The sequence below is a fragment of the Homo sapiens genome, chromosome 13 (genome assembly GCF_000001405.40).
Source record: "Homo sapiens chromosome 13, GRCh38.p14 Primary Assembly".
Taxonomy (NCBI): domain Eukaryota; kingdom Metazoa; phylum Chordata; class Mammalia; order Primates; family Hominidae; genus Homo; species Homo sapiens.
Window position 1 is genome coordinate 102,751,087 of NC_000013.11, and position 24,162 is coordinate 102,775,248.

General features: G+C 41.1%; 2 protein-coding genes and 1 long non-coding RNA gene across 13 annotated transcripts in view, besides 4 other annotated features; 1 reads left to right on the top strand and 2 right to left on the bottom strand.

Annotated features, from left to right (window-relative positions):
* LRTM3 (leucine rich repeat transmembrane protein 3) overlaps positions 1–7,986 on the bottom strand; it is a 29,706-nt gene extending 21,720 nt beyond the window's left edge. For both annotated transcript variants that reach the window (XM_011521106.2, NM_001146197.3), the window contains exons 1-3: positions 7,616–7,986; positions 7,457–7,490; positions 7,324–7,366 (exon numbers count right to left, since the gene is read on the bottom strand). In XM_011521106.2, coding sequence (XP_011519408.1) covers positions 7,324–7,366; positions 7,457–7,490; positions 7,616–7,846 — 308 coding nt within the window. In that variant the 5' untranslated portion in view covers positions 7,847–7,986. The remainder of the gene's footprint in view (positions 1–7,323; positions 7,367–7,456; positions 7,491–7,615) is intronic.
* Positions 3,856–4,077: a silencer, noted in NCBI's record as "fragment chr13:103407292-103407513 (GRCh37/hg19 assembly coordinates)". NCBI's record gives its function as "represses an EF-1alpha promoter that drives an FKBP-Casp9 reporter gene in an ReSE screen in K562 erythroleukemia cells {active_cell/tissue: K562}" and the evidence as "EXISTENCE:reporter gene assay evidence [ECO:0000049][PMID:32094911]".
* Positions 8,568–17,207, top strand: LOC105370337 (uncharacterized). Its single transcript, XR_931685.4, has 3 exons — positions 8,568–9,469; positions 10,115–10,221; positions 17,140–17,207. It is a non-coding gene; the product is annotated as an uncharacterized LOC105370337 (long non-coding RNA).
* TEX30 (testis expressed 30) lies at positions 14,802–22,700 on the bottom strand. 10 transcript variants are annotated; one of them, XM_024449439.2, is made up of 7 exons: positions 22,596–22,700; positions 20,781–20,855; positions 18,926–19,000; positions 18,225–18,455; positions 17,174–17,225; positions 16,187–16,392; positions 14,802–15,494 (listed from the first exon to the last, which is right to left on the bottom strand). In XM_024449439.2, exons 3-7 carry the CDS (start codon positions 18,938–18,940, stop codon positions 15,315–15,317), a joined length of 684 nt encoding a protein of 227 aa, XP_024305207.1. In that variant the 5' UTR covers positions 18,941–19,000; positions 20,781–20,855; positions 22,596–22,700; the 3' UTR covers positions 14,802–15,314. The 10 variants fall into 10 exon arrangements, 9 of the variants coding, with proteins under 9 accessions (XP_024305207.1, NP_620134.3, XP_005254154.1 ...); NM_138779.5 differs by lacking the exon at positions 20,781–20,855; XM_005254097.4 differs by lacking the exon at positions 20,781–20,855 and having other exon boundaries at positions 22,395–22,700.
* Positions 22,455–23,132: an enhancer, noted in NCBI's record as "H3K27ac-H3K4me1 hESC enhancer chr13:103425891-103426568 (GRCh37/hg19 assembly coordinates)". NCBI's record gives its function as "activates a minimal SCP1, AML or CMV promoter by ChIP-STARR-seq in primed H9 embryonic stem cells {active_cell/tissue: H9 hESC(primed)}" and the evidence as "EXISTENCE:reporter gene assay evidence [ECO:0000049][PMID:30033119]".
* Positions 22,533–22,872: a silencer, noted in NCBI's record as "silent region_5483". NCBI's record gives its function as "represses an Ori minimal core promoter by ATAC-STARR-seq in GM12878 lymphoblastoid cells {active_cell/tissue: GM12878}" and the evidence as "EXISTENCE:reporter gene assay evidence [ECO:0000049][PMID:35858748]".
* Positions 23,133–23,810: an enhancer, noted in NCBI's record as "H3K27ac-H3K4me1 hESC enhancer chr13:103426569-103427246 (GRCh37/hg19 assembly coordinates)". NCBI's record gives its function as "activates a minimal SCP1, AML or CMV promoter by ChIP-STARR-seq in primed H9 embryonic stem cells {active_cell/tissue: H9 hESC(primed)}" and the evidence as "EXISTENCE:reporter gene assay evidence [ECO:0000049][PMID:30033119]".

A 24,162-nucleotide genomic window follows, 5' to 3' on the forward strand; every position in this document is an offset into this window, starting at 1 on the left:
TGGATGAGATTAACATTTGTATCAGTGAACTGTGAGAAAAGCAGATTGTTCTTCCTAATGTGGGTGGGCATGATCCAATCAGTTAAAGGCCTGGATAGAACAAAAGACTCATACCTCAACCCCCTGACATACTCCAGCAAGAGGAAATTCTGTCAGCAGACAGCCTTTTGACTTAAACTGCACACTTTAGGCTTGCAAGTCACCACAATTGCTTAAGCCAATTATTTAAAATAACTGTCTTACTCTCTCTCTTTATACACACACACACACACACACACACACACACACACACACACACACACATATCCTACTGGTTCCGTTTCTCTGGAGAACCCTAACAATACACCTGGAAACTTATTTGAAATGCATATTCTTTGGTCCCATCCCAGCACTGTGGAATCTGACGTTTTGAAGGTGGGGTCAAAAAATCTGAGCTTTAATAAACTCTCCAGCTGATTCTGATACATGATAAATTTCGATAGTCACTGTTTGATGCATGAGCAAGCCTAAAATCAAAAACTGAAATGCATATAAAATAGGTCAGATAATTCTAGTAGCTATTTGTTTGGAGAACACAGATTATCTCTTACTTTACTGTAAGTGTGACTTTACTTTTAAATAACCCTCAATCAAAATAGTGAAGGCAGTATATGAAATCCATCATGATCTACCCAACCACAAAAATTATTTGTGCTAAATGATTACTTGTAGAACTGAGAAATAAAAATGAAATGCTAAGTCCCACAAATGACTGAATGGACATCCTCTTGACCAAGGGGACCCCAAAGGAATCTTGAAAAATGAATTCCTGACCATGATGGGATGGGAGGTCAGACAGGCCTTATTATACCACCTCCCTGCCTCGCTACCATTAGGCTTTCTTTCCTAAGGGTAAACAGAACAGCCCTTTGGAAAGGCTTGCACCACCCTTGATATCAACCAATGACCAGATGCTGCCCCTCCCTTTCGCCTTCAACAAAGCAACCAGCCAGCATTCCTTCCTGATAAGAGACTACCAACCACAGAGTGGTTCTGCCCAGTCTAGGAAGGATGTGCAGTGGGGGTTTTCATGTCCCCTGCTTCACCTTTTGATGTCAGAGGACCAAAAACTCCACCCTCGGATCATGCTAAAGCTGCCATTTTTTGAACATGAGTTCCATGGAGAGGAATGAAGCTCAATTGCTCATGCACACATTTCTCCTTTCATAAATATTCATGACTCCTCCTACAGCTTATTGACTATGAGTATTATCCACCTCGTTCAGCATGATTTCCTGTCTTATTCTTCCTGCCCTCCAATGGCCTGTTTCTGGCTTCTGACAGGAGGCTACACTTCCCAGTCTGTCAGAATGGCTACCCTGCAGGCTGCAACCTTTTATGAGCGCCATCATTCTTTTCAAAACACCATCATTCTTCAGTTGACACAATGAAATCTCATTAATCTGGATTTGGTTAATTAGAATTTGGGGTATTTTAGGCTACACTAATGATTTTGTTTTTTCATCGATAACACAAAAATATTAGGTAAATATTTAAAATATGTTAGTTTTCAAGTTCTCTCAAATTTTAGAGCACTTATTAACCTCTAATATATAGGCTATTTTATGGGCTGAATTGTGTTTCTCTAAAATTCATATGTTGAAGTCCTAACCGTAGTACCTCAGAATGTGACCATATTTGTAGACGTGGCCTTTAAATAGGCTATTAAAGTTAAATGAGGTCATATGGGTAGGCCTTAATCCATATTTGGAGATAAGGCCATCAAAAGATGATTAAATTAACTGATGTTAGTTAACTTATTTATAACTGATTAAATTAACTTATTTAGAGTGGGGCCCTAATCCAATATGACTGGTGCCCTTGTAAGAAGAGGAAATTTGGACACAGAGACACCATGGACATGCATATACAGAGAAAAGAGCATGTGATGCACATGCGTGTTTATTGCAGCAATATTTACAATAGCAAAGACATGGAATCAACCCAAACGCCCATCAATGATAGACTGGATAAAGAAAATGTGGCACATATACACCATGGAATACTATGCAGCCATAAAAAAGAATGAGTTAATGCCCTTTGCAGGGACATGGATGAAGCTGGAAACCATCATTCTCACCAAACTAACATAGGAACAGAAAATCAAACACTGCATGTTCTCACTCCTAAGTGGGAGTCTAACAATGAGAACACATGGACACAAGGAGGGGAACATCACACACTGGGTCCTGTCAGGGAGGTGAGGGGCACAGGGACGGAGAGCATTAGGACAGACAAATACCTAAAGCATGCTGGGCTTAAAACCTAGATGACGGGTTGATAGGTGCAGCAAACCACCATGGCACATGTATACCTATGTAACAAACCTGCACATACTGCATATGTATCCCAGAACTTAAAGTAAAATTAAAAAAAAAAAAAAGAAAAGAAAAAAAAAAGAAAAGAGCATGTGAGGACACAGCAAGAAAGTGGCCATCTGCGAGTCAAGGAGAAACACCTCAGGAGAAACCAAGCCTTTCAGCCTCCAGAACCATGAGAAAATAAATTTCTGTTCTTTAATGCCACCTAATTTGTGATACGTTGTTATGGCAGCCCCAGCAATCTACTACAGACTGTATACACATCTTTGTTATCTGCCCATTACTTTTAGTATATAGTCTTTGGTAGTAAAGTCTATTCTTCAACTAAGACAAAATTTTGCGTTGGATGATCATGATGTCTACTCTCCAACACCTGTTCTACCTCAGATTATTAGGCTCAGTCTAATATAGTAATCCCATTTCTGAGTGATTAGTTTAGGAATGGGCATGATCTAATCCTAATATAAGAAAATGCTGAAGCAGGCTGGGCGGGGTGGCTCACGCCTGTAATCCCAGGTCTCTGGGAGGCCGAAGCAGGTGGATCACTTGACATCGGAGTTTGAAACCTAGCCAACATGGTGAAACCCCAACTCTACTAAAAATACAAAAAGTAGCTGGGCATGGTGGCATGCACCTGTAGACCCAGCTACTCGGGAGGCTGAGGCAGGAGAGTTGTTGAACCCAGGAGATGAAGGTTGCAGTGAGCCGAGATTGTGCCATTGCACTCCAGCCTGGGCAACAGAATGAGACTCCATCTCCAAAAAAAAAAAAAAAAAAAAAACCCTGAAGCAAACCATTTCCCAAAATCCAATAATCCAATGTAAGATCAGCAGTTTGCTTTGCTCACTGAGACTATGCCTGGTCAGCACAGTTCTCTCTAATTTCTCATGTCACCTCCTGACATATAATTTATTTATTATGTTGTCATTTATTGTCTGACCCTGTCTCACCCCCACACCCTGTTTTGTTTGCTGATGAGTCTCAAGGGCCTACAGCAATGCCTGACACAGAGTAGGCAATCAATAAGTATTTGCTGAATGACCATCTCCACCTCCAGGCTTCTGATTGCTAACAACAAACTGACCCAACTCTTTCCTCAATTTCAGTGAGAAAAAAATCCCTCATACACAAACCACTCATATATGTTTAAAATCATGTGACTGATTTTAGTGAAGACTTGGAAGCAGAAGCAGGAGAGAGTTGACTACAGCCATGCATAGGGTTCCCATTTAAACATTAGGTACGTCTCCCCATTTGTGAGATGTCCTTTGGCCTCTCCCCACCAAGGAATCTTAATTGGCCTTTGAGATTTTAAAAACAACTCCTCATTCTCTAGGAAAAGAGTAACAGTTCTAGAGCCATGGTAACCAATAGCAGAACCAGTTGTAAATCAATCAATGGCAATCCTATAGTCATAGTAACAAATAAACAGAGTCTTCTTTTAAACTGTTTTATCTATCAACGATAACTCCCTTCAGGAAATGCACTTCTGAAACCAACCAGTCAGTGACAAGTTTAAGCTTTGAAAGTCAGGTGGTTGGTGGCAGACTCTCACTCAAGCATGCATCTATGGGTAAGGCCAACCCTAAAACAAACCATACCCCAAAATCTGATATAAGGTCAGCCATTTGCTTTGCTTACTGAGACGATACCTGGTCAGCTCGGGTCCCCGGATTTCAGATACTGAGTGGTGGTCTCATCCTTTATGCCACTCAGTCCTAAGCCTCACACCACTACACCTGCAACTCCCTCTGTTCTGCTCCTCTCTGCCCCCCCAGCTACCCCCTTTCTCCTTTGTCTCATTTCATAAGCAAGATAAAATCCACTCCATCTCTAATGCAGTAGATTTTAACCATTCTGATGCTTAGCTTCGGCCAATATACCCTTCTATTTCAAAATAATTTATTAAGATGCTGTCCCACTATTTCCAATAGCAAAGACATGGAACCAACCCAAATGCTCATCAATGATAGACTGGATAAAAAAAATGTGGTACATATACATCATGTAATGCCATGCAACCATAAAAAGAATGAGATCATGGCCTTTGCAGGGACATGGATGAAGCTGGAAGCCACCATTCTCAGCAAACTAACACAGGAACAGAAAACCAAACACCGCATGTTCTCACTCCTAAGTGGGAGCTGAACAATGAGAACACATGGACACAGGGAGGGGAACAACATATACCAAGGCCTTTTCGGGGATGGGGGACGAGGGGAGGAAACTTAGAGGACAGGTCAATAGGTGCAGTAAACCACCATGGCACACGTATCCCTATGTAACAAACCTACACGTTCTGCATATGTATCCTGGTTTTTTTTTTTAGAAGGAATTTTAAAAAATTAAATGAAATAAAATTATTTGAAGGTGTCAATGGTTAAAAATAAAAAAATACTATGTTCATAGTTCTTTTCCCAAAAAAAGTTTATATATATATGTATACACATATATATGTGTGTGTGTGTGTGTGTGTGTGTGTGTGTATATATATACATATATATATATATATATATTTTTTTTTTTTCCTTTTGAGCTGGAGTCGCTTCGTCTCCCAGGCTGGAGTGCAGTGGTGCAATCTCGTCTCACTGCAACCTCTGCCTCCCAAGTTCAAGCCATTCTCAGCCTCCCAAGTCATTGGGATTACAGGCGCATGCCACCACAGCCGGTTAATTTTTGTATTTTTAGTAGAGATGGGGTTTCACCATGTTGTCCAGGCTGGTTTCGAACTCCTGACCTCAGTGATCCGCCCACCTCAGCTTCCCAAAATGCTGGGATTACAGGCGTGAGCCACCGTGTTACACATACTATTTCAACTATTCTTCATGATATTCCTAAGAGGTAATTCTTCTAATCCTTAGTTCGAAAAAAAAAAAAAAATGGAGGTATAGTGAGTTAAGTCATTAGCCCAAGGCCATGCCATCATTAAGAGGTAGAACTACAGGGCCAGGTGCAGTGGCTCACGACTGTAATCCCAGCACTTTGAGAGGCCCAGGTAGGTGGATCACCTGAGGTCAGGGGTTCGAGACCAGCCTGGCCAACATGGTGAAACCGCATCTCTACTAGAAACACAAAAAATTAGCCAGGTGTGATGGTGGGTGCCTGTAATCCCAGCTTCTATGGAGGCTGAGGCAGGAGAATCACTTGAACCCAGGAGGCGGAGGTTGCAGTGAGCTGAGGTCATGCCATTGCTCTCCAGCCTGGGCAAAAAGAGCAAAACTCTGTCTAAAAAAAAAAAAAAAAAAAAAACAAAAAAACAAAAAGAGGCAGAACTATGATATAAAGCTAGACCTTTTTTAACTTCAAAATTTATGTTTTTTCACCATAATATGCTGCTGCCACAGGAGCCATATCTTTTCTCTAATCCTTTTTCTTCAACACCACCCCCTAACCTCTTCTTCTCCATGAATTTCCCTTAACGCCCCCTAGAAAGATGCCACCCGAGGATTAACTTCTGTCTAGGCAGGAAGGGAATAATAGGACACGGGGATGGAAAATCTTTAAAGTGTCCTTGATTCTGAAGCTAAAAATCCTTTTTTTCTCCATGTCTTCTTGTGAATTCCTCTTGCCTGTTAATCCTCTGGTTTTGAATTACATGTGAACCTTGGGTCACCATGCACACCTAAGCCCTCTAATATCTCAAATGCTGAATCTTGGTCTGTCCATTTGGACTTATTCTGATTGCACTACTGACATGCTGTAGCTTGTGCTGGCATTCCTGTTTCCAACTGGCCCTCACAAGGGTTCTACCTACTCACACCTCCAGATATTGTTACAGCTTCCCAAGACACTCACCTGAGAACTAGTGTTGCTAGTACCCAATACAACAATATAGCAACCAGATTAAATGAATAAAGCCCTTTTATACCTGACAAATGAAAGAAATTAGACGAACATCAAGTAATCCTCTGATTCACACAGTGACTAGTGATCTAGCTGAAACACAAAACTGCCACTCTTATGTGTAACCACCAGTAGTGGTTATTATCTACAGAATTGAATCCAGGTCTTAACATGGTATAGAAAGCCGTTTATGACCTGACTCCTACCTACCTCTTCACATTCATCTTCCACTACTTCCTGACTCAACCTCAACATTCCAGCAACTCTGAAATAATAGTAATTTCTTGCACATTGCTGCTGTTTCTGTTCATGTCCTGGAATGTCTTTCTTATCCTCCTAAACCTCTGTCCTTTTCGGGCTAATGTTCATTCATCCTTTAAAATTCAGCTCCAGGATAACATTCTTCGTGAAGCCATTCCCAATGCCCTAGGCTGGCTTAGGTATCTCCTAAATATATTAATATTTCTGTCACTGTGTCACCATACCACAGGGCAACTTTCCTGTATGTATACATCTTCTCCACAAGAATATAAGCTTCTTGAGAACAGAGACTATATTATGGTTTGAATCCCAGTGTTGGCGTCCACTATATTGTAGATATCTAATAATTGTTGAATGGATTTCAATTAAAACAATTAAAATATTGATAGCATCAAGAGTTGTGATTATGTCAGTATTTAATCCCTAGCACGGAGATAACTTTACAATTCTGATAAATTCTGATTTTACAAACTCCTTTCATGTCACTCATGCAGCACCTAGCTCAGTGTTTGCTTGGTCCACAGTAAGTGCTAAATAAATATCTTTTCAGTTGAAATATAAGAACTGGTGTGTTGGAGAGAGAGTTAGAGTAGGAAAGCAAGTCACTTATCCTCTTCAAGCTTTATTTTCCTCATCTGTAAGAAACTACCTGCCTCGAAGGATAATTTCAATAATATACGAAAAGTCCTTAACACAGCTTGGAGCATAGCAACAATTTAAAGTAAATGTTAGATTGAATCATGATATTGAACAGCTAGGAAAACCCTTCTCTGAAATTCAGAAGTAAAGGCAATTTTGAATAGAACACAACCAACCTATTTCATTTAGCTTCAAAATATTTTTGTGATATATCACATACCTTTCTCCTGAAGATGAATTAATAACTGACCAATTCTCTGGAGCTGAATAGGAATAAAAAAGTCACAGTATCAATGAGAAAAGCTCAGGATGAACAAGTTTTATATTAAAATGTGAAATTGTATAATACTTACCAAGTTTCCTGCTTTTGGGGCAACTGTCTTCCGTCTATTTTAATGGAAAAAAAATTGTTAGAGGAGTAATCGGAGTATCAAAATTCAAAAATTTTACAAATTATTCTTATGTCTGATTTTGAAAACTAGGAAAAGGGGAAATCAACCATTTATTCTTACCTCCTGGACATCTGAACTACCCTTTTCAGGAAGTGTGGGCTTCTTCCAAAAGGATGCACAAGCTTTCATGAGTATTATCTCAAAAATAATTCCTAGTAAAATTATAAAGAAAATTGCCACCCAATCATTTTGAATAATCCAGGACTCTAGAAAGTCCCATAATGTCATGAATGTATTATCTTCCAGTCCACTCCCTACCCCTTTTTTAAAGGAATAATATTGCTTTGACATTTTAATGTCATATGTGAAAGAGACTGGTGTCTCATTCAGAAGTCCTTGATTTCAGAGGCCCTGAAATATAAAACCTCGGTATGCCCAACTCATAACCATGTGCAACATTTGGCCAGTGCTGCTGGTATCTTATCAAGTGCAGCAGTGATTGCTCTGGGCCTAAGTTAAGTGAGGTACGTGTCATAGTGGGTATTTAACTGAGCTCATATTAGCTTTAGCAATAATGGAAGTTCATAGGTAAGATATGTACACTGTATAAGTAGTTTTTTACTAAAATTCAAAAAATTACCTTCTCTTAACTTCATAGATAGCAACATAATTCTATCATGGATTGTTGCTGCCCTATTATAAATATAGAATAAATTTGGATTGGTAGAAAGCATTTGACATAACCATTTCTATTAACACCAGGAACAATGTATTTTATGCTTCTTTGTGGTAAGGAAAATATAGTCCTTTCTTAGAATGAATATAGATAGAGTTGACAGGTTTAGCAAATAAAAACATTAGATGCCCAATTTAATTTGAATTTCAGAGAAATGTCGAATAATTTTTTTGGTCTAAGTATGTCCCATTACAACTATGTAGAATGTATGATGACTTGTCTTTTATGAGTCTGATTTTTTTCTTAAAATAGAACACATTTTATATTTCTTTTTGCTAGCAGGGTCTGTTGGCACCATTTCCCTTCAACAATCTATTGACATGCTGAAAACTAAAGTGTCTTTGGAATAACCTCCTGGTGAATTTCCTTTTCACCCTGTCTACAGTGATTTCAGGGAGCTACTTGTGATGTCCTTTCCGATGTCAGAATTAAGGGTAGGGCAGAGGCAGATGTAAGTACAGTACTGCCCACTCCCCTTCAAAGTCTAGTGGGTAGGCCTGGAAGCTTATTGAGCAAATATGATTTTAGTCACAAGTAGACAGGATAGTCTGGACTAATAATGAAAAATGTTAACACTACCTTGGATTTAGAGTACTCTTCCTTTGAAGGTGTAATTAATTAATACTTCCTTTGCAGATGTAATTCATTAATGCTTCACTTTGGTTTTGTTTTAGTACTTCACTTATCCAAGGTAGGTTAAGCAAAGAAGTATTATTCATTACACTGAAGTATTATTCATTACACTGAAGTGAACAGTTCAGGCCTCTTCTGTCACATCAGTTTAAATAAGTACAACAAAGATTTATGACTTCAGCTGGGCGAAGTGGCTCATGCCCGTAATCCCAGCACTTTGGAAAGCTGAGGTGGGTGGATGGCTTGAGCCCAGGAGTTTGAGACCAGTACTAGGCAACATAGGTGGACCTCCGTCTTTACCAAAAATTTAAAAATTAACTAGGCATAGTGGTGTGCACCTGTAGTTAGTCTCAGCTACTTGGGAGTCTGAGGTGGGAGGATTGCCTGAGCCTGGGAGTTGAAGGCTGCAGTGAGCCATGATCCTGCCACTGCACTCCCATCCTGGACAACAAAGCAAGACACTGTTGCAAAAAAAAAAAAAAGAAAAGAAAAAGAAAAAAGAATTATCAACTCTTACTGTCCCTGAACATTGAAGATCAAGAGATCAATGACATTCTAAATGTTGGAATTTACAGTCTTCCAGTCTCCTGGACCACAATGTACAGGTATTTCTAATCTTTATTTAAGTATAATTCTTATCTTGAATTTTGTCTTCGCAAAGAATCGCCCTTTAGAATGCTTGGTAGGTCTTCATTGGCTCTGAAAGAAACTTCAGCAATTCCTCTTGATTTTTCTAGAACTATGGTAAAGTACACCTTCCCCGTACTCCCCTGCCCACAAAGACAATTGAGGTGATTTTAGTCTCCTGGGTTTCCCCATAAAATTCAAGCAGCTGGGCCAGGCGCAGTGGCTCATGCCTATAATCCCAGCACTTTGGGAGCCCGAGGCAGGTGGATCACCTGAGGTGAGGAATTCAAGACCAGCCTGGCCAACATGGTGAAACCCCGTCTCTACCTAAAAATACAAAAATTAGCTGGGCATGGTGGCAGGTGCCTGTAATCCCAGCTACTCAGGAGGCTGAGGCTGGAGAATTGCTTGAACCCGGGGAGGCGGAGGTTGCAGTGAACCGAGATCACGCCATTGCCCTCCAGCCTGGGCAACAACAGCAAAATTCCATCTCAGGGGGGAAAAGAAAAATTAAGCAGCTGGAAAAATACTGTTACTCTCACCTACTTGCAGAAACTCTCTAAATCATTTAATGGTAACTATCTTAAAAGGGATTCATTGTTTCAACATTTTCTTCTCTCTAGTTAATAGATCTTTCCAAGCTTTATGGTACTGAATCCCTAATTAGCATTCCACTGAAGAGCTCTTAAGGAACTGAAAAGGAACTGCTGCGTACCACTCCTGCTGATGGGTAGGTTTACATAGGGGTAAGTATTATCCCTCTCCAGGGCTTTGTCATGTTTGTTACTTATGTACTTGCTACTAACAAAAGTATAATTATCTATTTTTCAGCATAAATGCTTCTGTCTCTTGGACTAGAAACCTCTCAGACCAATGTCAAGTGAACAGCATCAAAAGTAAATGCTAAGCAAGATTTACTTGCTTACAGAGTAAAAAGAAAAAGAGTATCAGAGAAAGCCTATTACAGTAGTAAAACATAGACACTACGAGAAAACACAATGAAAATTCTATTAAAGTTTTTTTTAAAACTTCCTATTATATTTACCAATGTTACCATCTTTGAACTATCTTGACATTATGAACTTGGTTTTTGTTCTTTACTTAACAGGAAAAAGTCCCAATATTAGATATATAAAACAGCAACATAAAGCCAGATATTGTTCAAAATTGTTAGAAATTCTTTCTGTAAATATCTTAGTTTAATACATGTGTTGAATAATAAATGTGTAAAGCACTGAACAAGGAACAAAAACGTGCTTTAACACATTTTGTTAACGTTTTGTTAACATCTTTGTTAACATTTAACAATGATGAGGAAAAAAAATCCCAAACTTGAAGGAATTTGTAATGTAAGTGAGATGGAGATATTAATAACTTAATGAGAAGGTAGAGTTCGGTTAACACAGAAAGGACGAAGATATTACAGGGGTTTGAGGTGAGATGCTTGGTTTGGGGTAATTTCAAGGAAATCTGCAAAGAGGGGAAAAAAATCCCCCCTACTCATTTGGATTTGGTAGCAGGCAAAGATGAACAAACAAAGTAGGAAGAAGAGTAAGAAATACTTCTTCCATTTTATAAACATTTATATAGTCCATGTTAGCTATAGCACGGTTACAGGTGTGAAGTCTGGGAAAAGAAGGCTAAAATGTTGACAGAGCCCTACTGTGGAGCCATCTTCGGAGATCTAACAGTTTTTGAGTTGGAAGTACCAGCTGGTGTATCAAAGCAAGGTGACAATAAAATTGGAAAATCAATTAGGCTACTGCACTGATAGATGAGAATTGATAAGGGTCTGAATTAGAGTAAAAGACTGAAACCCAGGATTTAGCAACTAAAAGAAAGCAAGTGGCTGGGTGTGGTGGCTCATGCCTGTAATCCCAGCACTTTGGGAGGCTGAGTTAGATTGCTTGAGCCCTGGAGTTCGAGACCAGCCTCGGCAACAAAGCAGGACCCTGTTCTCTACAAAAATATTTGAGACCCCGTCTCTCTAAAAAAAGATAATTTTAAAAAGTAGCCAGGTGCAGTGGCAGGCGCCTGTAGTCCCAGCTACTTGGGAGGCTGAGGCAGGAGGATCCCTTGAGCCCAGGAGTTCAAGGTTGCAGTGAAGTATGATAATGCCATTGCATTCCAGTCTGGGTGACAGAGTGAAATTCTGTCTCAGAAAAATAAAACTAGGCCAGCGCGGTGGCTTTTGCCTGTAATCCCAGCATTTTGGGAGGCCGAGGCGGTCGGATCACTTGAGATTAGGAGTTCGAGACCAGCCTGGCCAACATGACGAAACCTGTCTCTACTAAAAATACAAAAATTAGCCAAGTATGGTGGCACACACCTGTAATCCCGGCTACTCAGGAGGCTGAGGCACGAGAATCGCTTGAACCCGGGAGGCGGAGATCGCGCCACTGCACTCCAGTCTCAAAAAAAAACACAAAAAAAACAAAAAACAAAAAAAAAACCTAACATAATAAAAAAAAGCAAATGGATCAAGGTGGGGGATGGAAGAGTTCATGGTGAGGGAGAAAGGACTTACAGATAATCCCAAATCTGGTTTGTCTAAGATGAGGTTTCCCAACGTGGGCACTAATTGACATTTTGGACAGGACATTTCTTTGTTGTGGCTGCAGTACTGTGTATTGTAGGATGCTTAGCAACATCCCTATCTTCTACCTACAGAATGCCAGTAGCACCCCAACCCTAGTCGTGACAAAAATATTTCCAGACATTGCCAAATATCCCCTAAGACAGGGGTCCCCAACCCCCGGGCTGCAGACCAGTACTGGTCCGTGGCCCACTATGAACCAACAGTAGGCAAGCCAGCATTACTGCCTGAGCTCTGCCTCCTGTCACATCAGCTGTGACATTAGATTCTTATAGCAGCAGGGAACCTTATTTTGAACTGTGCACATGGGGGATCTATAGGTTGTGCGCTTATGAGACTCTAATGACTGATGATCTGGGATGGCACAGTTTCATCCAGAAAACATCCCTACCCCCGCCACTCCCAACCCAGTCAGGTGGAAAAATTGTCTTCCATGAAATGGGTCCCTGGTGCCAAAAAGGTTGGGGACCACTGCCCTAAGGGGTAAAGGTCCCCCCTGGGTGGGGAGCATTAGTCTAGGTGAGTGTTTATGAGGCAGGAGAACAGGGTCTGGAGGCAGAGAACCTAAGACCAATTCACCCTGACTTCCTACAACTAAGTTGATAGGAAAACCCCAACTTTCCATGCCTAAGTAACAAAAAGACCAGAGGCTACTCCCTTTGCAAACCCACACCTTATCTGTGCAGCAGATAGAAAATTGAAAGTTGGTTGCAAAATTGGTTGCTTTCTGCAAACAGACATTTGCATGGGAGTGTAACTTTGTAACTTCACTTCAGCCTCTGACTGGTTGCTTTCTGCAACCAATCAGACTGACTGTGGGCCACCACTTCATTTACATGGGGTGAACACCCAGGTAGACAATGGGAAACCTCTAGAGGGTGTTTGGGCCCCAGAAGATTCCTTTTCCAGGGTCCTTGAGCCGCTGCTTGGGCCCACTCCCACACTGTGGAGTGTACTATCATTTTCAACAAATCTATGCTTTCTTTGCTTCACTCTTTCCTTGCTTTGCTGTGCATTTTGTCCAATTCTTTATCCAAAACGTCAAGAACCTGGACAACTTGCAGTCAAGACCCCCTCAATAACAGCTATGCCATTAATTAGGGCCTACCAGAAGAGGTGCCAGAATGGCTCTTTGATTATAATCTCAAACTTGAAGGGGCTGAACATTTTCCTGCAAGGCGTGGTAAATCTATGGAGGAGAGCAGATGTGACCTTTTCCTAAATGTTCGTTTCTGCTGTGGATACATCATTCATCTTTCTCTAGGAGTTCTATGTTCCCCAAATATGGCTAGCTATACAGTCCTCAAATGTCAAGCCATTACATCAATAAGGAACAGTAGTTTCTTATAGAAAACTCAGGGGAAAATCAACTTTAAATGATCATCTACCTACATTACCCCTATATTTGATGTAGTATCTTTGGTCATCATATTATGCCTATAGTTTAATTTTGCAAACGCAAATATTGTAAATTGTATAGCCTGGTCAGTAGCCTTTTAAATGTTTTGTTGTACTCTAACATTATGTAATAAGTTGTCTTTTGTGTTTTCCTTGTCCTGTTAGCTTTACTTCTGGTTCACAATACTTATGTTCTTCAATGACTTATAGTGGTTAATAGACCAGTGATTCTATCTTCTTGATAGCTTTGGATATTTTTTATGTTTATCATCTTTTGATATTAGTAGTGTTTTAAAATTTCAAATGTTAATTATTGTTTACTTATACAACATTCTTAAAAATTTAGGTTCAGGAAATGACTTTTAGTCAAGAATATCTATTATAAATAGTCACAGGAATTTTAAATTTATAGTTATGCATCACTTTACAATGTGAAAGATTTGGACATTATTACCTACGTTTTCATTCTCTTTGTCATATTTAGAAAACTAATATTTTGAATCTACTGATTCCATCAGGGCAGAGGAATAAAGGGCCTCAAAAATCTGCAAGCTGCCCAGGCCACTTGAGGCTATTTTAATGGCCTAACATTAAGAGTAGTAGGGAGGATATGCAAAAGATTAAAGAAACATTTCTTACTACAAACTTCTATTTAAATTTAACATCAGCCTCATCACCTTTTGTGAATTTTACAGGAAATACAGAAACTATGTTCTTTATATATAACTCAATACCATTCAAGCTCGAGATCAGGTGATAGCTGAACTTTCCAAGGCAAAATTAAGTGCCCCAACTGCATAGATATAGCAAAGATGTTAGTACTACAATTTAGCAATTATTTCTCTCTTTAATCAGAGTAGTCTATTGATTTTACACACTATGTTGTGTTTTTGAGACACAGTCTCACTCTGTTGCCCAGGCTGGAGTCTAGTGGTGTGCTCTGGGCTCACTACAGCCCCCACTTCCTGGGTTCAAGCAATTCTTCCACCTCATCCTTCGAGTAGATGGGACTATAGATGTGTGCCACCATACTTGGCTAATTTTCGTATTTTTAGTAGAGACAGGGTTTTGCCATGTTGGCCAGGATGGTCTCGTAGAGACAGGGTTTTGCCATGTTGGCCAGGATGGTCTCAAACTCCTGGCCTCAAGTGATCCTGGCCTCAAGTGATCCGCCTGCCTCAGCCTCCCAAAATGCTTGGATTACTGATGTGAGCCACCGTGCCCAGCCTCACACACTATGTTGTAAGCTCCAAGTTTTTATTCATCTTTGCAAACCCAATGAGGTTTGCCTGTAATAAGCCTTCAGTGAACACTTCTTGAATTAAAGATCTTTATTTCATTCTAAAAAATCTTCAGGGTCCCCATATTTGAAACATATGTCCACTCCTATCCTTTCATTGTGATTTATTAAAAGATAAGGTGAAGAGATGTGTGCATTCTATAAATCTCTGACTAGATTAACCATAATGTTTTCCTTTTCTGAAGATAACGCTGCTCTGCAAAATTTCTCAGTTGCCTATCAATAAGACAAAAGCACCTTTTTGTAACAAAATTCAGATGTTTAATTTTTTTCAAAACTTAACTATACTAATGAAAATAAATTATATGTAGACCACCTTCAATATTTTTACATCATCTTTATACAACTGTAACAGTGCTTTCAAAAGACATTTTGTGAAGGACATTAATTTCACATTTAAAACGTGTTTCAAAAATAAGGGAACATTAAAGAACATCAAATTAGTCTGAAATATATCTCACAATGCTGAGAGGCATACTCTTCTTTATCAAATTAACTGTATGTGTACTCAAGATAACATGGCTTTTAACTAATGACATTTCTTGTCCATTTCAGTAATTTCTTGGATCCAAAACAAAATCTGTGTATTTATTTCTTTGAAAACATCATTTGTCGACCGTCCTTTCACTGCCATGGAATGATTTGCCTTCTCAATCCAGTGGATTTTATGGGGAGCTTGCATTTTCTGTGCCACTTTCTCCAACAAGTTCTAAAGAGAAAAAGAAGAGGATACTAGACTAATGTTCTGTTGATATTTAATAAAAGGTCCTCTCTCCCCTGCCTATACTGGCATTCATTCCCAAGTATTCATTAAATGCTTTCTCAGACAACTTTCTAGGTAATAGAATGTGTGAGGAAATGTCCGTAAAAGTGGCAGTCCACTTCTCTCAGCTGTAGCAGTATCAGATCAAGCATTTATTACTAATAAAATGTAAAATAAATTGGAATAAAAAAATTTCTTCCCCCAAAAATCTTTTTCCCAAGCAAATTATATGCCCTGGGGAATATAAAGTTGTTTCATAATATTGGGCTAATATTTAGTAATGTGTAGACATTGCCAACCCTTTCTCAAGAATCAATTTTATAACAAATACTCTGCCTGAATGTTGAAATGATTAAAAAAATCTATAGTGTAGTAATCCCAAAATCAGATGATTCAGATATTAATCCTTCATTTTCCAAGTAAGGGTCATATTTACCAACTCTATTTCCAGGGATACAAATTTTGTCACTATACTTATATTTTTAGGTTCTCAAAAGCAACAGAGTAACCAGGACACAAAACTAGCATTAGTCAAATTAGCAATTTTTAAAAGACACTGTTGCCAGAAGTATCTTGCTCCCAAGATATGTCTGCCTTTCATTCTCTTTCATTGACACAAACATTGAGTTATAATTCACCTTTTCACACATTTCATCTGCTGAGCCTGACACAAACAGTACAGGCTCTTTTAAACGAAAGAGGTCTTCATCTCTGAGTTTATGCTGCTGCTTTGGATGGTGCAGTGGGTAAGAAATACAAATGAGACCCCGAACAAAATCATCACCATCATCTGGCTCAATGTGACACATTACAGAAGCAGCTGCTCTTGAGCCCATTGAACGACCTAAAATCAATTAAAATTAAGTTCAGTTTGAAATATAAACTTTCACATAAAGTAGCAGTGATGGTGTGGCAAATTGGATCTTTTACTGTTCATCATATCTGTTTACCAACAAATTAACTCCAAAAGGCAGCAATTAACAAGTTGCAATACCAGGCCAGGCACGGTGGCTCACACCTGTAATCCCAGCACTTTGGGAGGCCTAGGTGGGCAGACTGCCTGAGGTCAAGAGTTTGAGACCAGCCTGACCAACATGGCAAAACCCTATCTCTACTAAAAACACAAAAATTAGCCAGGCATGGTGGTGCACACCTATAGTCCCAGCTACTTGGGAGGCTGAGGCAGGAGAATCACTTGAATCCCAGAGGTGGAGGCTGCAGTGAGCCGAGATGGCGCCACTGCACTCCAGCCTGGGTGACAGAGCAAGACTCTGTCTCAAAAAAAAAGCTAAAAATTGATCTTAAATGCTAAAAAAATAAAAGGCAATTATTTTTCTAAAGAACACTTAAAAGGACAAGGACAATCATTGTAAAGGAATCATCATATGCAGGATGATGATTCAGGGATATGAATAAAAGGAGAGAGGCTCAGATTATAATACATATACATGAGGTTCAAGTTTGCTCTAAGTATATAAAGTGCTTTAACATTAAAAAGGTGACTTACCAAAACAACAAAAAAAATCCTTAAATTAGCTTCCTATGATCAACTAATTTTAATTCTCCATTACCTATTCCTATATTAAAACAGGTAATTAACAAGTATTCACAAGTATTGCACTTACCTCCAAGAAAAACACCTGCAAGTTTGTATTCTCCTGATGTCTTCAGGTAATTCTAGAAAAATAAAAAAATCATCAGTTCTTCACCTATAAAATATTCCACTGGAAAGGCAAGATATATTGTTTCTCATCATTACTGAAATGTATGAAAATCTATGCAAAGATAACCAGAAAATCTTAAGGGATTTTTCTTAAAAGAAGTAAGCAGTCCTTCCTCTTCTGGTCATGCCTTCACTATTAAATCACATGTTAGGTAATACAGGCAAATATGTGAGAAAAAAAGTCAATCTACCTTTACTAAAATATTTAAGCACTAAACTATTTTTTAGAGAATTATTTTTTAAAAAGGCCAGCAAAGGCTTCCAACTAATACCAAATTTGATAATGTTAACATCTAAAGTTCTAAAAAACTTATTAGTAAGCTTGAAATTATTTAGATCAGGGGTGTTCAATCTTTTGGTTTCTCTGGGCCACAGTGGAAGAACTGTGTTGTGCCACACATAAAATACACTAACACTCATGACACCTGATAAGCTTAAAAAAAAATTGCAAAAAAAATCTCATAATGTTTTAAGTAAGTTTACAAACTTGTGTTGGGCCACGTTCAAAGCTGTCCTGGGCCATATGTGGCCCATGGGTTGGACAAGCTTGATTTAGAGAAACTTTAGTGTTATCCAGGATTTTAAGCAAGGTTTCTAAATAACATATACAGAAAACAGTATCATATTTATACATGCATAGTATGGTAGATGAAATATTCTAGAATGCCAAAATGATGTGCTAAAGTTACATAATTCCAGGGAGAAAAATCATAAGTAGCTTCCTTGGCAATATCACGGAGGAACATTTATGATGTAAGCATTCATCTCCATGGAAACTGATGACAAGGGAAATCTGACGACTAAAAAGCTTTCATGTACTGCTGAGTTTTCTAAGAATACACTCATTCAAAGATTTTTTAAATTAAACCAGATGACTAATAAAATTTATCTTACATTTATTAAGGATTTCAAACAGAATTCTGTTATAAGTAAATATAAAGAAATTTTCTTACCAAAACTGATTTATACGCCTTAATTCTATGTACAATATTAAGGCCTTTACAGGTAAATCTCAGGCAGAAAAACCCATGAGATGCAAGATGGGATGCCAGTGACATCAAATGAGGAAGATTCATATCTCCTGATGCTCCATGTGTAAGAATTATTCCATATGTTAAGCTCTTGTTAGGTACCAAACAAACAGCATCTAGTAATTTATTTCCAAAAGGTATTTTTAATTTAACCTGGAATTCAAGAGAATAAAGGGATCAAAAATTACTTTCTTGCCTATTAAGACAACTGAACAGCTATATATATGTTTGCTCTGTGAGGCTCATAATTCAAGTCATAGCCTCCAAATAAAAAGTAGTGATATTAATAATAGTAGTTAAGTGCTTACTGTGTCGGGTATTATTATAAGTGCTTTATATGTATTAACTTATTTCACTTTTCTAACAATTCTGTGAGGCAAGCACTATCATTATCCCCATTTTATAGATAAGGCACAGCAGATTAAGTAACTTGCCCAAGGTTATATAGCCGCTAGCTAGGATTTAAACTCAGGGTAGTCTGCTCTAGATTCCTCGCTCTTAACCACTTATGCTATACTGCCTCCCACAGTGAAAGTTGAAAATAAAATTACTCTGAAGCCACATAATTACAAACAAACAAAAAACCAGGAACCCTGAAGATGCAGAACATACGAAAATATTACCTCTGTATGACTCATTTTCACTGTTGAATAACAAACTTAAAGTGCATTTACATCTGAGAAGCAAAGGACATCTCCCTGAAAAGAAGATTCTGTTGTGAAAGGTGAGTTGGCAGACATGGATATGACACAAAAACTATGAATGAACACATTCAGTAGCTAAAATAAACATTTAGAATTACTTCCCTAAAATCTGGTGTCTTTACATGTACATTTTTCTACGGGCACTCAGAATTGGTTAGAGGGCCAGGTGCAGGGTTGGTAGATGTTATAGAAGATAAAACAAAGGTGATACTTTGACATGGAAACTGTAAGGTAATTCATATCAAAGTAGGATGCTGTATCTTGTCAAAATATGGTAATGTAAAATGTATAAATACACATTTTTGTAAGAATCTTCATTCTAAACCAACTATCCTAAACTTAATTTTTCAGCATCTTTCCATTAACCCATTTTCTTCATCATTATAGTTCCCAAGCCTACCCATCCACATCTTGTCATGGAACTTCACAGTGCTGCTAGAAGGCAGAGTATATATGTCTTCACCCTGTTTACTTTGGACTTGGCTACGTAACTTGTTTTAACTAATGGAATGTAGGTAGACATTTCAATGTGTGACTTCTGAGCTGAGGCATGGCAAACTTCCAGAAGCCCTTTTGAACTTTCACCCTCAGCCATGAGAAAAACATGCTCTAGGTGGTTTTGCATTTTCAGCCTGGGTCTCAAAATGAAGACACACGGAACAGAACTGAACCCAAAACTGAAGTCTGGAGTCCAGACTAGTCTAACCAACATCTGACCAACAGCTGATCTGAAGATCCATGAGCATAAAATGTAAGCCACTGAAATTTTGGGGTTGTTATGCAGCATTCCTTCCTATGTTAAGAGCTCTTGTATTGTTTAAGACATTACCAACATCAGGATCTCCATTACTCACCCATTTTTCCCATTAACATTTATTTATTCATTCATTCAATAGGTAACAATAACATGGTTTAAAGTTCAAAAGGTACCAAGAATATGTAGTGAAAAAGTCTCACTCATTCCACTCTTGACTTGACATCAGATTCCCCTCTCCAAAGGTAACCAATATTATCTGCTTCTTACTTATCCTTCCACATAGCACTGTACTTATTTTCACACGATGTAAGTGTATTTATAAGATAAATTCCTGGGGAAGGAATCGCTGTGTCAAAGGGTTTGTTCATAATTTTTTACAGAATTTTTTCATAGAACTTCCCAAGGTGAATACATTTCATTTTTGAATAGGTATCATGTGCACACGGTACATTAAAAAAATGTAAACAGAAGTCAAAGTATTTGTTCATAATTTACAGAATATGTTTTTCATAGATCTTCCTGAGGTGAAGAATACATTTCATTTTTGAATAGGTATCGTGTGTACATGGTACATTTTAAAAGACAATGTAAACAGAAGTTTCCACACACTCTTCCCCCAACCACCAAGTTCCTTTCACTTCCTAGAAACCACCATAAGCAACTTATTATGTACCTTTCCCCATCTGTGTGTGTGAGCGTGTAGAATTCTCTTATTTCAGCCTGGAGAGCATTAGTCTGATCTGACTGCAAAAGTTTTGGAAGTTGAGTGAGACAAAGGAGATGAAAGACTTCAAGCTTCAGTGTCCCTATCTTCATACATGCAGCCCCACAATTATGCCTGGGTTTCTCAGTTCAAAGATCCTCTGTTTTACTTTCTCAAGAGAATAAGCCTCCATCCAGTCTTCTAACAAGGGGAAAGGCAGTCACCCAACAGGTGAAATGGGGAAGGGGATCTGGATATCCAATTGCTTCTCAGATTTCACCTAAATCATCTTTCTTTAAGCTCCTTACACCCACCTTCTGCACCACACCACCTTCATTCCCAGTACCACCGCTGTCCAGTGCTGCCAGTTTCCGTGCAGTTTGAAGATTCTGTGGTTAATACAGGGTTTGCTAAGCCATACATGTTTTGGAGCCCGCTATTTGATTGCCAGCGTTTCCTTTCCTATTCTCCCATTGCTGGAGGTTCATGTTTGTTTTTAAATAGCCTTAATGTAAGTTTAGTGAAACTTCATGAAGGAGTAAATTTAGATGCATGTAAACAACCACTATCTTAATTTAGAATGCTTCCCTATTTTTTTTTTTTTTGAGACAGGTTCTCGCTCCGGCGGACAGGCCGGAAAATTGAGTGGCGCAATCATAAGCTCACTGAATCCTCGAACTCCTGAGCTCAAGCGATCCTCTCGCCTCAGCCTCTTGAGTAGGTGGGACTACAGACGCTCACCACCACGCCCGCTTATTATTTTTAAATGTTTTTGTAGAGACGAGGGTCTCCCTATGTTTCGCAGGCTGGTCTTGAACTCCCGGGCTCAAGCGATACCCCCTGCCTTGGCCTCCCAAACCGTTGGGATCCCAAGGCGTTTGCCACCTCTCCCGGTCTGCTTTACTTCTTTTCAGACTTCACGATGCACAGTGTGTTCTTCACGGCAGCTGCACACATGCTGGTTTTCTTCAGAAACACGGAAAATGCCCCATAATGCAATCCCCAAGCAACCTGCTCTAGGTCATCTGGGTTTGTTTTTTTGAGACAGAGTCTTGCTCTGTCCCCCAGGCAGGAGTGCAGCGGCGCGATCTCGGCTCACTGCAGCCTCTGCCTCCCGGGTTCAAGAGATTCTCCAGCCTCAGCCTCCCGAGTAGCTGAGATTACAGGCGTCCGCCACCGCGCCCAGCTAATTTTAGTAGAGACGGGGTTTCACCATGTTGGCCAGGCTGGTTTTGAACTCCTGACCTCAGGTGATCCACCCGCCTCGGCCTCCCATGGTGCTGGGGTCAGGCGTGAGCCACCGTGCCAGGCCACTGTCGTCTGGGTTTTCATCTCTGGCTTCAGGTTCAGAGAGGGCAGGGTTTGAAGCCTGGCCCGGCCTCAGTGCCCTCAATGGCGATGGTGAAGATGACCGGCTAGAGGTGCTGCGCCCACGAAACGCCAGCTCTAGTGGCGTCCGGAGCGCCGGCTCCACCGGCTAGGCGGTCGGCGGAGTTCTAGGACGACAACTACTCACAAGGGCTGGGCGATCACCTCCCACGCCACGGGACGGAGACGCCACAGCCCCTTCAACTTTCAGTTACAAACGTTCGTGCCCTGTTACGTCCACAGCATTAAGCTGGCTGTCGTGGGGCAAACAAAAACGTTGAGTCCGAGTCTTACGGGGGGTCGGGTCAACAACCCCAGCAAACATGGAGAGAAAATTCAAAGCGGGTCTCACGGGCGTGCGGGGCTCGGCGGCGCTCGGGGCACGGGATCCGTTCTCTCCGCAAATGCGCGCTGCCGGGGCTGCGCCGCGGGCTGCCCCGGTCGACCCCTCTCAACTCCGAGGCTACTTCGAGCCAGTCACCCGGGACTGGCTGACGTGGTCCAGGTTGGCCCCGTCCGGCTCTCCCCGCCCGTACCAACCCCACATTCCGCCCTCCTACCCGGCAAAGCGGACGAAGCCCCCACCGGCTGGTGCCCGCGGGCACCGAACTTAGCGGAACGCCTCCCGGCTCGGACCAGACGCCCCTGAGGAGTGACGCCCGCGAGCCTCAAACGTCTCAGGCGGGCCTGCCGGGTGCTCTCCCCGTCTCCCAGGAAGCCGCCCGTCAGCCGGCGGCGCCAACCGCCACCGCCGCACTTACCCGGGAAGGCAAAAGTGGCCGCGGGCACCCAACCGCCGTCACTCCCTTCAGGGAGCTGACTAGCGCGCTCGAAGCGACCGCCTCGCCTGCCCCGCCACAGCGTTCGGCTACGACGCACGCGCGCGCAGGCCACGCCCCCCGGGTGCGCGGGCCGGGCCGCAGAGCACGCCGGGAGCGTGGGTCTCCCAGCCCGCCACATCCCAGGGCTGTACGCGCGGACTAGCGGAGCTAGGGGAAGGTGCCAGGGTGGCCGCCGCCTCAGTAGCACGCGGACGGCTGGAAAGTCAGCCCCCGTTTCCGCCTCACCCAGGATTGCTCCACTCGGGGCCTTTCCGCATCCCAGCCACCACTCCATTCCGAGGCGCGATCAGCTCTGACCAGTCTTCCTCACACCCATAGTCGATTCGTTACTCCCGTTAAGGTCAAACGCTGACAGAAACCAGCCGCTTCGCACACTTCTACATGGGGTCAAGCCCCCTGTTATCTTTGCGGGGATGATTGTAACAATCACTTAAATGGTCGCTTCGTACCATCTTGCCCCCGCCTGGGCCTTGTCGGCGACGCCGCAGCCACGTGGATGCTGTGGAAGCCTGTCCCCTGGATCTTCCAAAGGCTCCGCGCTCATTGCCACAGCCAGCGGCCGGCAGTGGCCTAGGCTGTTGCACGCGATCGGTCCCCCACATCTCCCCTCTCCATCTGGCTCCTTTCCCTGGAAGCCCAGGGCAGCCCACACTTCGCTGTCCTCACCCCCACTCACCAGGCGGGACCCCACGACGACCGGCTTTTGTCCTGGCTGCTCCCTCCCAGCGTGGGCCGCGTCTCCTCGGGGTCGACAGGGCGCGTGGTTTTCACAGCGAGGCCTCCCCTGATCACCTCCCCGCTCTTCCTGTCCTTCCCCGGTCACCTCACGAGCTATGGATGTATCTGTGTCTCCTCACTGCGCTATAAGCTCCCAGGTGAAGAAAGGGTTGCTTTTTGTAAATTTTTGTTTTAACCGTGAACCTCTTGTGTATGAATAATGCTCAGAAAAAAAAAAATTTCTTAAATGAATGAATCTTCCCCAAGCCCAGTGCAGTTGGCACCTGCCCTCTTTTCTGTCACGGTACATACAAGGAAATACATTCCACAAAACCACATAGTCGCTGTCATTTATCACAAGTGTTTCCCCAAATTACAAAGTCTTAATACTTCTTTGTCTCCTAATTTTTTAGCTGTGTTTTTAAAAAACATTTCTTTACATGCCATAAAATTCACTCATTTGAAGTGTACCATTCAATCATTTTCAGTAATTTTAAAACCATTTGCAACCATCACTATAATTTAAGAACATTTCCATTATCCCCCTGAAAAGTATTTGCACAGTTATAGTTGAGGTAGGAGATCAGCAGGACTTTCCAAGCACTGATCACCACCTGCTGAGCAAAACAGGATCTGGTCAGAACAGGATGCCCTAAAAAAACGGCCAAAACTGCCCTAAAGAAACAGGCCCAAGCCAGCTAAAACCAGGATGGTGACCAAAGTGACCTCTAGTGCCCTCACTGCTCATTATACACTAATTATAATACAT

Excerpts from the sequence above, each read along its gene's own strand:
- TEX30 (NM_138779.5), bottom strand. Across the intron at positions 16,393-17,173 it reads TGCAGGTGTTTTTCTTGGAG|GTCGTTCAATGGGCTCAAGA; the intron begins GTAAGTGCAATA and ends AATTGATTTTAG. Across the intron at positions 15,495-16,186 it reads CAGATGAAATGTGTGAAAAG|AACTTGTTGGAGAAAGTGGC; the intron begins GTGAATTATAAC and ends TTTTCTCTTTAG.